Raw genomic sequence first — 16400 nt, forward strand, 5'->3', positions numbered from 1 at the left:
CCTAACTTCTCTATGCCTTTATTTTTCCACCTGCAAAGTTAGGATAGTAACAGTAACTACCTCATAGGGTTGTCACAAGGATTAACTAAAGGATGTACCTCAAGCTCTTAGAACAGTGGCTTGCCATAGTAAATATTCAGTACATATTTGCAATTATTTCACAGATGGAATCAAAATGATCTGATTTCAATTTTTGTTTCTCCAACAAGGTACTCGATTGGTCTCCACACCCCACCCCCTCATACACACTCATACACCCCCTCATACACATTCCAAAGCTTCATTTTCTCATTTATAAAACAAAGAGATGAACATTAAGAACATTCTTTATTTTAAAAACCTCTGTCATGTTAAAAAGCAGTGGGCACTGTTATTTTAATCTAGGCAAAGCCCTGTAGTTCTCACTGTTGCTGGCTTTTCAAAGTGGAATTCATCAGCAAATAACGTTACTAATGCTGCAAATGAGTGGGGCTGGGTGGGGTTGGGCTGGCTCTCACCCTGCCCTCCAGATGCAATGAGTGTGGGGACACTGGTGACTTCTACAAAGGCTCATTGAAAAGGTCCAGTCCAGCAGCGGCTTGGTCTAAGGTAAGGCTTCTTTTCTCATTGATTAGCTGAGCAGGGGGAGAGGAAGCTATTAGTTTTATTGTTGTTTTTCTTTATTGGACTCACAAGGCCTCAATGCCATAAACCCATAAACCAGAACTGGATACAATCTATTCTTAATTATACAGGGACAGATGATCTGCATTACAAATTGTCCACAGCAAACCTTGCTCACTAATTATTGATGAGATTGTCAGTCACTTGCCCTGCCTAAGCTCATGTTGGCATAAATGGCCCCATTACTTACTGCGGACTTAGAAGGCCTTATATTAGAAATGCTTATGTGTGGACATTTCTCTGCCTGCCTCCCTAGAAGAGAAGTTGCTTCGCAGTGGGCACTGTGCTATCTATGAAACACATTGAATGTATGCCCCAACCATGACCTTCCTTCCAGAACAGAGGAAGGGAGCCAAGCCAGCCATTATAGCTATGTCTGTATTCAGCTCTAAGCATCAGGACCCAAACTCCAAGACAATGCCTGTCCTGTTTAGGCCAGTGTTTTGCATCGGTGTTTAGGGAAAATCTCTATAATAGAAACTATAGAAGGAGAGGGGACTGTCTTAGGGCATGTCAGAACATGCCCAGATTATTTCATAGCCCATAGCACCGAACATACCAATGTTCAAGGGTGAGCACTCAAGCAGCTTGTGAAGCCCCAGGTAAATGATGCTCAGCTGCCACGGTTTCATTTTATTCAGTCACAGCATGGGCAATTAAGAATAAACTGCATTTGATTTCTCTGTGGTTGAGAAAGGATCTTGATGAGATGTCATCCTGGGGCTGAGTGTGTAGGTCCCAGGCAGACATGTTCTGGGCTCCTGGAGCTGAGGGTGGGGATGAGCAAGCCTCTGCTTGGGTTTATCTCAGCCAGAGCTACAGGCCTTTTGGATTGTTTTCTTTCCTGTGCCCTAGCCTTGAACTCTTGGCACAGTTCGGAAATCCGTTTTCATAAAACCGATTTATTTTTCCATTTATTTGATTAATTGAAATTGCTAATACTCTGGCCTCTAGGTCATAAACACTGGATAATAAAACCCCCTCTACATCTGTCCAGTATTTTAGTGTTCACTAAGCATTTCACATCCATCATCTCAAAGGTAGGCAGGGAAGGGATCGCCATCTTTAGTTCATGGAGAGGGTGACATGTGTTGTCAATGATTACAGTTAGTATGGAGCAGAGCTGGGGCTGGAAGCTGGTTCTTAGAGTCTGAGTCTAGTTCTCTTGTGGGGTGGCTAACAAGAGAATGAATGGCTCTTGTTGAAATTATTCCAGTTTACCCCAGGACTGAGTTGATTTTTAGGATCTGAGGCTTTTAATTTTAAAACTGGGTAAGTTCTGGGCAAATTGGGAGGAGCTTGTCACTCTACTTCAGAATCCCAGGGTGTCTGTTGTGATAGAGCCCTGTCACCTCCATCAGGTTCAGGGGAGGGAGGTGGCATGTGACTTGGCACAGGTGAGGCAGATGTTGTACCTGGAGCAGCCAACCAGGGCTGCTAGCTGAGAACAGCCAGAAGAACCTTATGGATGATCAGAGAGTGGCAGGAGATCCATCTAAGTCAGATCTTGGGGTGGGGTTTGATGGGTTGTGGAGGGACAGGAGGTACTGGTGATGGAGTGACCCCTCCTGCCTAGGCTGCTTGTGGAGACAGTTCGTAGGAGAAGGATTCGGAAGCCTGAGAGTGCTGAGCCGGAGAGGGGACACTAACAGGAACTGCCTGGCAAGAAAGACCCATGAGAGAGACACCGATGGCCTAAAGACAAAGACAGGGCAGAGGCACCATGGTGGATTGATGGGATGATGGGGGATGGAGGGAAAACGTCAGAGAAGGAGCAGACAGAGAGAGGAGGGAGGGTCCATGAGGTAGTTTCAGTTGGAGAAGAGTTTTGGGGCCCTCACTTGCCATCCACAGAATCTCTGTCCTTGTGGGCTACAGCCTCCTTCCCTCCAGCCTAGAGATTAAACCCTTCCTAATAAACCAGCCAATCTAATTTAGTTGGGGTGGAAGGAGAGGGAAAATGATTTGTTCAAAGTGGCCTGAGCCTGAGCTGAGTCTTGAGCTCTCCAGTCCAGGTTAATGGGCTTTTAGCCTTGAATCAGGGCAAGAGCCAGGCAGGCCACGTGGCTCATGGATGTACTCCCTTGTCAGCCTCACTGTGTCCTTGACCCAGTCCCAGGACCTCTGGCCCTGGGAACTTACATGCCTTCCCCAGTCTCTGAAGGATGGGATCTCATGTCTTGGTTCCATTCCCTTGCTTGTTAGCATTTTGCCTTTATTAATTTGAAGAAATTCAAATCTTATTGAGAAATCATTAAGTTAAACCAAACCCAGAACAAATCAACTGAGTAGAAAATTGCAGATACCAGCTGCACTTTTTCCTTCCCACCCAGAGTGGAGAAAGGACTGTTTTTGTGATTACCACAGAGGCAAGCAGGGAGAGTGAGGCACCTGCACTGGGCATGTGGTCACCATGTGACTGGCCAGAAAGCCCCAGGAGTTGGTTGCAATATGGGAAACCGTGTAATGCTGCAGGGAATATAAATAAGACAGAAGGAATCAGCTAACAGATGGGATTTCTTATCCTTTTTTGTTATGGCAACCAGGTAGGATGTTATAACCTGCATTTTAGTTTTCCCTTCTGCCCGCTAGTCTCGATGTTTTATCTAATTTGTAGTTTTCTTAGTCTTGATATATTTAATTTATATCTTTTACTTTATTACATATATGTCTTGAAAGCTGCTTCAAATCCTCTGTGGAACAAAGTGAGGAATAAATATACAGTCTGACGAGCCTCTCCACTAGTGTCCTTTTTGGAGCGTAGTGCCACAGTATAAGACTAAGTAACTAGGGAAGAAGGATGGCGGAGTGGTCATGCATGCCTCCGCAATACCTTGTCTCAGTTGGTGTGCAGAAGGGGGCACTCAGCCACCTCTAAGTTGTGCCAGTGCTTCCTAGACTCAGGAGAAGCAAGTGAACATGGCTCTGTGTGAGCTGGCAAAGAAGAGTGTCCACCGCAGCTCTTGGCTCCTGGCGCAAAGTCACCCTGTCTCAGGATCTTATTGAATTGTGATTTCATGAATATCCTCATAAAGAAGCCAGTCTATCTTTCTGGAGCTTTTTTCTGGAGCTTCTGGGTTCTCATATTTTATATTCTCAGTCTGAGTTTACCATCTAGGGGGGCAGGGGGACCTATTGTAACCTGCTCGGGTGAATTGAGATACGTCTTATAAAATTCTTGGGTTATTGCAATAGCTTCCTAACTAGCATCTCTGCTTCATTCTTGCCTCCCTACAACCCACTGATTGATCATTAAAAAAATGTAAATCATCACTATGCCACTTCCCTCTGTAGAACCTTGCATTGCTCTTGGCGTAAAATCCATGGTTCTTCCCAGGCTTTCAAGACCCTGCGTGATCTGGACCCTACATATTCTTGTCTCCCTTGTCATTCTTCTTTTGGCTTTCTGAATATGCCCAATGTATTCCTGTCTTGAGTTTTTGCTTTGCTTCTTCAATTATTATTGCTTGTTACAGGATTTTCCTGTTTCTTCATGTAGTAAGTTCTTTCTTATTCTTTAGGTCTCAAATCTCATCTTAGACCTGCCTTCTCTCCCAATCCATCTAAACTGGCTCCATCCCTTTCACTCTGCTCGACCTCAAAATTATCCATCACATCATGCTACTTACATCCAGCATTTACCACGATCTGCAATTATCTTCTTTATTTTCTCATTTGTTCATTATACACCTCTCTGAGCAGTATATAAGCTTCAGAGGGCAGAGACTTGATCTGTTTTGATCTCAGCTATAACTGAGCCACACCTAGCATCTAGCACTGTGGCTGGCATGTAGGAAGTTCTTAATAAATATTTGTGAGATTAATGTATCAATGACTTAAACCAAAAGTTCACAAACTATGGCTCATGAACCAAATCCAGCCTGTTGCCTGTTTGTGTAAATAATGTTCTGTTGGAACACAGCCTATTCACTTACATATGTTACATGATTATGTATTGTCTGTGGCTGTTTTTGGTGCTACCATGGCAGAGTTGAGTACTTGCAACAGAGATCATATAGCCTGCAATGCTGGAAATATTTACTATCTGATCCTTTACAGAAAATGTTTGTTGACCCTTGGCTTAAACCATAACCCTAACAATGGCTTAATCCATATGGGTATTTAGCGTTTCACTTAATGAGAAACAGAAGATCTCAGGGTCAGTTCAGTGGCTCAGTGATGTCATTCAGAACTCACAGTCCTGCTATTTTGTGCTCCTCTGTGCTGGAAATATCTTGCCTCAAAGGTCTAAGATGGCTGCCACAGCTGTACACATGATGTCTTTACACATCAGAGTTGTAAGGAAAAAGGAGTTTAGTGAGAGCAAAAACTGGCTTTCACATGCTCAGCGCTTGCCCAGTGATTGACAAGAAGGTGATTGACTGCCATGATTGGCTTAGATTGGCTTAGATTGGCCGTGATTGACTGCCATGATTAGCTTAGGCCAGTCATGATTCATGCCTTGAGGTTGGGCATAACACTTGTAGTGAGCAGAGAAGAAGGCAGACCTCTGTCCACTTGTATGAATGAAGCATACTCAGTTTCCTCAAACTCAAGGTGGTTGTGATTAAGGACTGAAGTTGTCTACTCTCTCCCCTTGATAGAATTAGAAATGGATGGGCACATTATTACTCTTTTTTCCTTTTCTAGCTTTCAGGGGGATCTTCTATCTAATCCTTCACCCTCTTCACCATTTTCCTCCCACTCGCTCCCAGCCTTGACCATGTAACATAACTTCAGGCAAGTAGATCTCAGCTGACTTCATAACAGTCTCACTTGATTCAGATTTTCCTAAGAGGACAGCCTGGCCTCATTATAAAGATTTAGGAACACCAGTTGGGACTGTAAAATGTTCCCAATTCTATTCCCCACCAGCCAAGTCTGATGCTTTAAACTCCACTATGCAAGGGACATTTTAGTTTAATGCATTGTTGTTCAGAATGTCTCTGTTAAAATGAATGGTATTTTCAAAAGACCATGCATGATGTGAGCTTATGGCTTAATCTCAAAGGTATGACATCACATATCATCTTGGACAACAGAAATCTTGACCTTGAGAGGAGCAGGGAGAATGTTATCATGGAAATAGCACAGAATCATGAGATACCTAGATTCCAGTTCTTGTTTGTCTGTTGCTCTGTTATCCACCTTAGGTAAATTCACTTTCTCTTTCTGGACCTCACCTCCCTCATCTGTTTGATGAAAGAGTTGGATTCAGTGATCTTTGAGGGCCCTTTCAGCTGGTGAAGAGGGATTGGCCACACACTTTGTACAGTTTCATGTCCACATCACTGCCTTCATTCACTCCTTATTTCTTGAGCCATTCTTCCGATCCATATTTATTAAGAACTTTCCATGTGCTAGGAGTTTTCCTGGATGCTGGGAGGGTAGCACTCCTGCTCTCTTGAAGCTTACTGTCGAATGGGGAAGACAGAAAGAGTAAACAAGTAATATAACACCGTGAGACAAGTGTGAGGAAAGAGGAGACAAGATCGCATCACAGGCTCATTTCAGTCCAAGGCAGAGAGGGAAGGTGTTACCTTATACAAGGGGTCAAGTGTGGCTCCCCAGATATGGAGATGTTTGAGCCTGAAGGAAGATTCTGAGTTGACTAAGCTAAAAAAGTGTGGTGGGAGAAGAATCTCTCCAGTAGGGGTATTGGCATGTGTTAAGAACTGTTAGTAAACTGTGTATCATTTATGCTATATCAGGTTCACCATTTCTCAGTCAATTCACTTGCTGTGTGGCCCATTCAAAATGACAATGGAAAGAAGAATCAGATAAATTTAAGAAGAACCTGAGCCAAGTTTATCCAACCAATCACCACTGGGATCACAGTTAATATCTATTTCATTACTTAAATAAACATATACTATACATTTTAAGCATGCCACGTATATCAGATTCATTGCTTTAAAATAGAATTATCAAATTGTCACAGTGTGCTAGGCACTTGGCCAGAGCCAGAGAAGGGAAGTAGAAGAGGACACAGACCATAGTCTCCAGGAGCTCAGAGCTTAGTGTGGAGACAGTTGAGAACATTAACAGCACGAGTACAGTATGTTCCCAGGCACACAGAGGATGCTGACACTATCAGGCTGGGGCCAGGAAAGCTTTCAGAAGGCCATGAGCCCCCTGAACTGAAATTATTTCTTATTTATTTATTTTACTGTGGTAAAATAAACATAACAAAGTTTATTGTTTTAACCATTCTTATGTGTATCATTCAGAGGCATTGAGTACATACACAATGCTATACAACCATCACCACCATCCATCCCTAGAAACCACTCATCATCCCAGACAGAAACCCTGTGCCCGTGCAGCAAACACTCCCCATTTCCCAATCACCCCAGCTCCTGGAAACCTCGATTCTACTTTCTGTCTCTGTGAATTTGCCTACTCTAGACACTTCACATAAATGGAATCACACAGTATTTATCTTTCTGTGTCTGGCTTGTTTCACCCAGAACAATGTCCTTAGGATTCATCCAAGTTGTATTACGAATCAGTATTTCCTTCCTCTCAAAGGCTGAATAATATTCATATATATATATTCACACACCACATTTTGTTTAGCCATTCAACTGTTGATAGACACTTGGGTTGTTTCTACCCTTTGGCTACTATGAACACAGCTGTACAACTGTCTACTTCAGTGCTTGATTTCAGTTCTTTTGGGTGCATACCCAGGAGTGGAATTGGTAGATCATATGATAATTCTATTTGAACTGAATTTTGAAGGCTAAGAATGACCAAGCAAGAGGAAGCAAACACACAGTAGATTAATGCCAAGGGAGGATGCATTTCTGTGGGGTGGTCCACCCATCATATAATCTCTCACTTGTCCCTCCCTCAAAGAGCATGCTGTGTCCCACTGTGGCTGCAACCACCAGCTCAGTTCCTGGTTTCCCTAGAAGTGCGACTCTGGGTTCATTCAGGAAAAGAGGGTGGATCATGGTACCCTGTGGGACATGCCCTCCTTTCCTATATCCTTCCCTACTTCCACCCCACCAAGGAACATCCTGGGTCTTTTCATTCCCCTGCCTACCTCACTGAGTTGTTTTGAAGATCAAGGGGCAGTATGGATTGAAAGTGCTTTATACCTTTTAAGGCAGTAGTAGATATTTGTGGCCATAGCTGTTGCTATTGTCATTGTTGTCCTCTTTGTTAGGACCATTGTGAGCCTCCAGTGACCTCTCCTGGCCTGAGGAAGCAAAGGGGGAGTCATCCCAGCCCCCTGCACAGGTACTTCATCATGGTGAGGAACAGGTTTCTTATTTACTACCAGGTCTGCTAGGCTCATGAAATGAAGCTCAGGTAGAACACCTTCAATGGCTGTGTCTCTACACCACATCCCAATCTCTACACCACACCCCAATCTCTACACCACACCCCAATCTCTATACCACACCCCAGTCTCTACACCACACCCCAGTCTCTACACTACACCCCAATCTCTACACAACACCTCAATCTCTACACCACACTCCAATCTCTACACCACACCCCAATCTCTCCTGACACCAAAGTCTATAATGATAACTGATGAAAACAGAGATTCACTCATCACATCCTGAGACATACAAAGGAAGCCAGGCTGCCGTTTTCACTTAGAGTGTCCACAGGTCTGCATGGGAGAAAATTTCTAGAAATTCTGGAGCTGTAGTCTTCTCCCTCCAAGAGTTGGTTTCCAAAGCTTGGTTTACTTGATTTCAAACATCTAAACCATAGGTACTCAGGAACAGCTGTGTGTGTTTGGCACATTGCTAGGGTCTGTGGGGGTAGAGAAGCCCAAGACATGGGGTCTTAGCCTTCAGTCTGGTCATTGGCTTCATTCCAACGTGCTCAAATGCTTGATGTCTATTTCCTAACACCTCTGTTCCTGTTTTCTGTTATATTCTGCTGTTCTGGGCTCTGAGGGTGACTGCCATCCTCTGCTAAAAGGCTGTCTACTTTTAAGTAACTCCTTTGCTTTCATTTGGGAAAGCTGTCTTTCAGTTACTGGCTGCCTGTCTGGTTTCTACCTATAGTCAATCAAAACACAGGAAACTGTCTGACATGGTATATGATAAGATTCGGAATTGTGTGACACATAAAATTGCCCCAGAGTCCCTGGACCACTCTAGACCTCTGATAGTTAGTAGGGGTCCAGTTTCCCCTTAGGCTCAGAATGGCAAATAGATGCCACTGGGGCTGCATTTCTCTGCCCCCAGCAGACATGGTTAATCCATCTTGGTGCTTTTCAGCTGAGCCAAGGCTTGGCTTCTGACCTTTTCTCAGTGCAAAGCTGTCGGCAGCCGCCATCAATCGATCTGAGTTGGCACTTAGAGTATGTAGCAGACAGCTGGTGTCTCACTCCAATATCCTTTCTGGGCCATCCCCCCAGCTGCTAGGGGTAGTGGGTCTCACAACCCACCATTGCACCTGTCTCCTGAGAATTGTTCTCTGCTGGCCCTGATAGGAGCCACCTCACCAGGAAATGTCTCAGATCTTATGTCTTGACTGATATAGGGGCACAAAAGCCTGATGCCCTTGTCTCAAAGTGGGGCCACTCTGTGATGCTATTTGTACATATTGATATTCCTGGGATCAAGCTGAGAATGACTGTAGCTTTGCTGAGCCCCTCTCCTTGCTCGGTCCCCCTTCCCTCACATCCTTACAGCTTTTGTTTTAGTTTGCTTGCACCTTCAACAGATCACTCACACAAGAATCCTCATCTCAGGGTCTGTTCCTAGAGAAACCTGAGCTAACCTAGGTCATCTGCCATACCTGCCCTGCCTCTGCTCCTATACCTAAGAAGGAAAAATCAAGGACAAGAATAAATTGATAATGTGCAAAGTTTCCCATTCTCTGGCTCCTGTACAGTAAACAAACCATCATCCCACAAGTGTCTTCTGGGCTCTGGACTCGTGCCAGGTACTGTGGTGCGCACTGAGGACACACCAGCACACAAGACCAAGGAGGGCCCCTCCTCATGGAACTTCCATTCTATCTTAGCTTGCTTTTCCTATACCACTTGCATTATCTGTTCCATGTATCTCTGGATTTCAGGTCACCATTGACCCCCTGCTCTGTGTCCCAGTGCTGGCATTCTGCCCTATTCTGACAAAGATCATCTGTCCGATGGTTAACTTAGTCTTAACCTTGGTGTTCACTAGCTGCCGGAGCCTTCTCTGGTTTGCTCTGATTTTAGGCCAGCCTCTATCTCATACCGGGGCATATGTAACTTTGGAGATGGCTGGGTCAGGCACAAGCCTGAAGTGAGGGAAGCTTAGAGGGGGTCAGCATTGTCTATAGTGAGTTAGAATACAACTTACAATACCATCACTGATAACATCCACTTGCATTCAGCACTTTGCGATTTACAAAGCACTTTTATGCTTGCTATCTCATTTGCTTCTCCAACAATCTTGGAAGGTAGACTTAATTAGCTCTGTGTACGTGGTGAGTAAGCTTAAGGATGGGTGTAGATAGGACTGGACTGCGAGCAGGAAATCTCTACCCCGGACCAAAGTGAAGGAGGAGGGTAGAATGGAAAGAACAGAGCAGCTTCTGAAGCATCTCTCAGGAGACAGAAGGTCAAGTAGCAGAATCAAAGACCTTCCACTGCCCTCTCCTCTGTCTTCTGTTCAACTCAGGGAGTAGAAGGTCTTTGACCCTATTGCTTGGCCTTCCATCTCCTGAGAGACTCTTCAGAATCCATCTCTTCTTTCCATTCTGCTGTGCTCTGGTGTTCTCATTATCTGTAGCAGAAGTTTTATAATTTGCAGCTTACAGACCCCTAGAGATTCACGGGAGAGTTTCAGAGAGTTCATAATCCCCTTTCCCCAAATTGAAGTGTATGTCTATTTTTACCTGCAAAGTAGTTCACACATTTCACAAGATCCCCAAAAGCATCTGCAAACCACAAAAGTCAAGAATCACTGCTTAGGTTTTGTGGCCAGGATATACAAAGGACCTGAGATGAGGACGGAGAAAGGTTTTTGATAATATCAAAACATCCACTGCAGATGCAGCAATTGTATGTGCAGGCACAGCTGTGATGTCCATGGAACATCTGGCTGATAAATGAATTTTCCTCTTTCCAGTGGTTTTGAATCATGCAGTGACAGATTTTTAGAGCGAGATGCCTGTTCACTGCTGGGCACTTGATTGTCTCTCTGGGTCCCCTCATTGGTAAAAAAAAAAGCACATTGTGGCTAGGTTATCTTCAAGGGCTCGCCCATCACTGATGTTTTGTGCTTTTGTAAAGAGCCTCAGAAATCATCTCTTTCAGGATCTATTTAAAAGGTTGCAGCATGCAGTGGCTAAGGGTGGGTTTCTGAGCTAGAAAGCTCAGGTTGCAATCTCAGCTTTGCCTCTTGGTCAGGTTTTCTCTCTGGGCCTTGGTGAAATGGTGATAATGATGGCAGCTTCCCGTAGGGTTACTCTGAGGAGGACAAGAGTCAGTCATGTGAAGTGCTTAGACGAAAGCCAGCCACACAGTAGGCACTTCATCTGAATAAGTGTTGACTTTTGTGTAATTTGCACATAGAAGAGAGAACTGAAGGGTAATAAGTAATTTTGAAAAGGTCAATACAGTGAGAAAGAACAAGCCTCAGATTCTTGATTCCTAGTCTGTGCACCTCCCTGACTGCTACACTTGCTATGGTTCTTCATTTCTCCAAAGACTGAAGATTATTCTCAGTATCTGCACAGCCTTAGAAAACCCCATTCCCTAGGCCTGCTAATAAATCAATATTCAGGGAGTTTTAAAGACCTCTGTAAGGGCCAGACAGCACCTAGTACTATTATTTTCTATTCAAATTTTCATCCCTATTCCAGCCAAGTCCCAATGTCCCATCTTTGGACACTGTCCCATCAGGAAGATCCTGCTGTGTCTCAGATGCAAGTCATCTTGCTAGATCTTAGCTCGCGTTTCCTACACCATTTGCATTGTCTGTTTCATGTGTCTCTGGATTCCAGGCTGCCATTGGCCCTCCACTATGTGTCCCAGTGCTGGCATTCTGCCCTATTCTGACGTAGGCCATCTATCAGATGGCTGACTCAGTCTTAACTTTGGTGTTCACCAGCTGCCTGCTTTCAGAGCTGTCTCTGGTTTGCTCTGATTTTAGGCCAACCCCCATCTCATACCAGAGCAGGTACGGCTCTGGGGATGGCTGGATCAGGTGCAAGTCTGAAGTGAGAGAAACCCAGTGAAGGTCAACATTGTCTACAGTGACTTAGAATGCAACTTACAATACCATCACCAATAACATCCTCTTGCATTCAGTACTTTGCAATTTACAAAGCACATTTATGCTCACTATCTCATTTGCTCCTCCAACAATTTTGGAAGGTAGACTTAAGTAGCTCTGTTTAGGCTGGGCACAGTGGCTCACACCTGTAATCCCAGCACTGTGGGAGGCTGAGGCAGGCGGATCACGAGATCAGAAGATCGAGACCATCCTGGCTAACACGGTGAAACCCCATCTCTACTAAAAATACAAAAAATTAGCCAGGCGTGCTGGCGGGCGCCTGTAGTCCCAGCTACTCGGGAGGCCGAGGCAGGAGAATGACGTGAACCCGGGAGGTGGAGCTTGCAGTGAGCCTAGATCGCACCACTGCACTTCAGCCTGGGCGACAGAGGGAGACTCCATTTCAAAAAAAAAAAAAAAAAGAGCTCTGTTTAAGCGGTGAGTAAGCTCAGGCCTAGAGAAATTGAGTAACTTGGGTAAGGTCACACAATTTTTTTTTGAAAAAGTAAAATTGATGGCGAGGTGCAGTGGCTCATGCCTGTAATTCTAGCACTTTGGGAGGCCCAGGTGGGATGATCACTTGAGCCTGGGAGTTCAGACCAGCCTGGGAAACATAGCGAGACGTTATCTCTACTAAAAATTCAAACAAAAAAATTAGCTGGGCTTGGCGGCAAGTACCTGTGGTTCCACCTACATGGGAGGCTGAGGCAGGAAGCTTGCTAGAGCCCTGTAAGTTGAAATTGCAGAGAGCCATGATGGCACCATTGCCCTCCAGCCTGGGCAAAAGAGCAAGACTTTGTCTCAAAAAAATGAAAAATTAAAAAAGGTAGAATTGAAAACCAGGTCTGTCTGACCTGAAGTCCGTTTTCTTCCAGCTATGCCACAGCTGGGACGTCAGAGGGTTATTAGGTCTGGAGTAAGTGGAAAGAAGTCAGCTAGTTTGGGAAGAGCAACAAGATCTCAGGAGACAAGAGGGCTAAGGCTGGGAGCCCGGTTGTTCTAAGGCACTACAGTGTGACAGAGTACACCTTAGAGAGTTGGGCTTCTTTTGCCTTCCCACTTATGTAGCCTTTAACTGCGTAAGAAGCATTGGGAGCCTCAGCTATAGGGGCTTTTATTTCTGTTTCTTCATTTCTTGTCACATCTCCCAGGAAGTTCTATTGTGTCACAGAGATGAGCATAGGCTTTAAAACTAATCAGATCTGAGTTTAAATCTTTATTTTATGACCAAGAGATATTGGGTAAGTTACTCAGCATCCCTGAGCTTCTGTTTCTTCATCTGTAAAAATGGAATAAACACATCTGCCTTGCAGGGGGGTTGTGAAAATTAAATTAAATAATGATGCATCGTTTTCAGGAATACTTGGGGTGGAATGACCCACAAAGGGGTTTAACTTCTTGGCCAGAGAAACCCAATGGGCCTTCCCATGAGAGGCTGGGCCCAGGCCTCAGCTGTGTCTTGCCTTCTCTGGGCTCTACTTATTTTCTGGAGCCTCTTCTGTTGCAAGCTAAATAGTTCCTCCCCCTCAGTAGAGTCTATGCTGTTTCCTCTGGCTACAGACTCTATAATGCTCCTTGCTTAGCAGTTGCTTAGCCAAGCTGGGCCAATTAAGCTGCATTCCTCTAATTGTTTTGGTGGCTTTTCTCGGAACTCCCTCCAATTTGTCTACAAATCAGTTCTAAATTTAGACCCACCCGCCAAATCTTGGAGCTCTGAGCTTTTCACTGCTCTAGCCAACCATGAGGCTCTTCTACCATCAGTGATTGAGTTTGGGGGTGGTTCTCTTCCTCTCTCTCTTCTCCTTCCTCTAATTATCAACATGTAGGCATGAAATGACTTTGTGACATGCTTTATTTTGTTTGTAGAGTGCAGGTCCATATTCAGTTACCAAACAGTTATTCGTATTTAAACTCCCAGGAAAATGATGGTAGAGAATTAAAGGTGGGATTAATTTAAATGCACAAATTATTTTTACATTCCAAAACTGCACAGAGAAAACAAACCAATTTTGATATAACGGGGGAGAAAAGGTAAGAGGGTAGGAGCAAGAATAAAGTTATTTGCTCTCTGTGTTTTTGTGCCTCACTCCCTGCACTTTTTCTACCTTCCCAGTTTGCATTCACCAAAGTATCAGCGCCCCCGGCCTTGGTGTGTCTAACACAAAGAACCTGCAGTATCTTTGTCAGGTAGATAGGACCCTCCCAACCCCCAGGAGACAAGATTTCAAAGATCCCTATTCTCCCTCCTTTTTTCTCTCCCTCCTCCTTCCTTTTCCTTCATCCTCTTCTCCTCTCTTCTTCCTCCTCCATGTCAATATCAAATTCATTGCCACCAGCCATCTTTTATGCTAACAGAGTGGCTTATGCTCTTGAAAGCCTTTTCATAGACACAGTCTCATTTGAATTGTACAAGAGTCCTGGGCAGGGCCAGAGCGGGTACATAGACTCCGTTTGACAGATGAGAAAAGAGTACTCCAGAGAGGTTTAGCAACTTGCACAAAGTCAAACAGCTCATGGATGAGCTCTCAAAAAGACCCAGGATTTCTGGCTTCAGCCTTGGTCACAGCTGGTGCTCTACAAACATTTGTCAGATGAGAGAATTCTGATCTCACTGCTGGCTAACGGATCAGATCAACACAGCCAAAGGCTTCATGACAGGCTGGCAGGCTGGCAGGCTGGCAGAGAAGCCAGAATCTTCCGTTGTCTCAGAGCTTCATTCCCATCAACCCAGCGGACACCTGTTGACTGTTCCCAGAAAACCACTGCAGACATGTTTCTTTGTTGTCAGCAGAGTCCCCATGGACATCTCATGAGTCTTTGAGGATGCCCACAGGGCCCTGCAGGGAAGGAGACATGATGGCTGGCTGGAAGAAATGCCTCCACAGGTGGCGGAGAGTTTTTTTCACCTACTGTAGACTCCAAGTCTCTTTCTCTTAGGGCCTCAAAGGCATGTTAGCACATACATTTAACAGCAAGTGCTTGGATCTAACAATATTCTGAGTGCATAGGACATGTAGAACTGACAATCCTGCTTCCCTGTATAGATGACATGTCCCTGCTCTGCAAAATGGGCCTCTCACTTCTATATATATGACTTAGCTTTTTTTTTCAAGAATCAGGTGGGATAAGGAGTTTAAATGAGTTTACAAAACAGAAAGTTCTATATAAAATAGATGATAATTCTATATAAAAACTCCTTTGTTGCTGTAATTACAATAATCCTAGCGGTAAAGTTGACCTTAATACGTGATGGAATCAGCGATGGAAGAGACTTTAGAGTCACGTTTCCCAACCCCTGAGTTTGTGGGTGAGAACACGAAGCTCCAGACAGAAATGATGATCCCACAGGGCCACACAGCAGGTGTCAGGAGGGATAGTTTTAGAACTCTGTCTCCCGGCTCATCCCCTTGTATTCTGTCCTTTTGTTTTGGATGCTGTTTGTAACATCTATTTTTCTTACCTTAATTTCTCCCTCTTTCCTTTTCTTTCCCAAAATTCAATACGTGCAGAATGTCTTCCAAATACTCCTTATCCACAACCTTTTCTTTCTCCGAATGTATCTATTTTATGTCCCATTACCTCACAATCTTGTGATGTTGCTTTAATAATTAATGAATCCATGCTGACAGGTTAAAAAAGAAGAAACCACAATGACCAACTGTGCCACTCCACCCAGAGAGCATTTCATTTCAATAGACACCTTCACATACCTCCAAGAAAGAGAAATGACTATTCATGAAATTTCAAATTCTGTGGCACACCATTTGGGATTTTCTCCAGATTGCACATTGATTAGGGGGTTCATCTCGCTTTTAACTCATGGTTGAATATGTGGCTGCCTTCTCTTATTGGCTAATTGCTCTAACCTTCTGAGCTCTGTGACCCTGACTGATGGCACTGGATATTTCCACAGCCTTGTCCAAGGAGGCCTCCACCAGCAGGGCTGGTTTCTGACACAGAGTGTTTGCAGGTTATTCCATATTCTTTGGGTCAAGAATGGAGCTTGAGCTTCTTTCTGCATGTCAGTAATTAGACCCAATAGGTTCCCAGTGAGTGTGCATGAAATTGAAGGGTGGTGTTTCTTCAGGATGTGTTTCCTGGGTGAAGACTGTATGTGAAAATGTCAGGGCTGGTATCAAAAGAGGATTTAAAAAGAAAATTTTACTCAAGGAGAAGAAGCAAATGGACAGACAATTCCCCACTTGATGTCAGTCATCTGGTTCCTCTTTTCCTTCCCAGCTGGGTCATGGACTTTGCATCTTTTCTTGCATGTATAGAGCCTATTACAGATCCTGAAATTTCAGTGTTCAGTGAATACCAGTGCTGGGCTGTAAGACATTGGTGCCTCCAGGACAAGGAAGGATGTGCCCCACAATCAAAGAAGGGGGACAAGAAAGAATGAGATTTCAGAACTTGGAGGACTTCATTTCAACAGTTTTGGAAATTACCTAGTCTAACCTCCCTCAACTACTTTGTCAGGGAGTCTGAGACTGCCTA

General features: G+C 44.4%; 1 protein-coding gene across 1 annotated transcript in view, besides 1 other annotated feature; it reads right to left on the reverse strand.

The window, feature by feature from the left end:
• The window catches only part of ASIC2 (acid sensing ion channel subunit 2), a 1143682-nt gene that overhangs the window by 569433 nt on the left and 557849 nt on the right, over positions 1-16400 (reverse strand). The window lies entirely within an intron of this gene.
• Positions 408-1607: an enhancer, noted in NCBI's record as "BRD4-independent group 4 enhancer chr17:31909946-31911145 (GRCh37/hg19 assembly coordinates)". NCBI's record gives its function as "activates an origin of replication core promoter dependent on BRD2, P300/CBP, MED14 and CDK7 cofactors, and independent of BRD4, by STARR-seq in HCT116 cells {active_cell/tissue: HCT116}" and the evidence as "EXISTENCE:reporter gene assay evidence [ECO:0000049][PMID:35650434]".

Source organism: Homo sapiens, chromosome 17, assembly GCF_000001405.40.
Source record: "Homo sapiens chromosome 17, GRCh38.p14 Primary Assembly".
In the NCBI taxonomy this organism is placed as follows: Eukaryota; Metazoa; Chordata; class Mammalia; order Primates; family Hominidae; genus Homo; species Homo sapiens.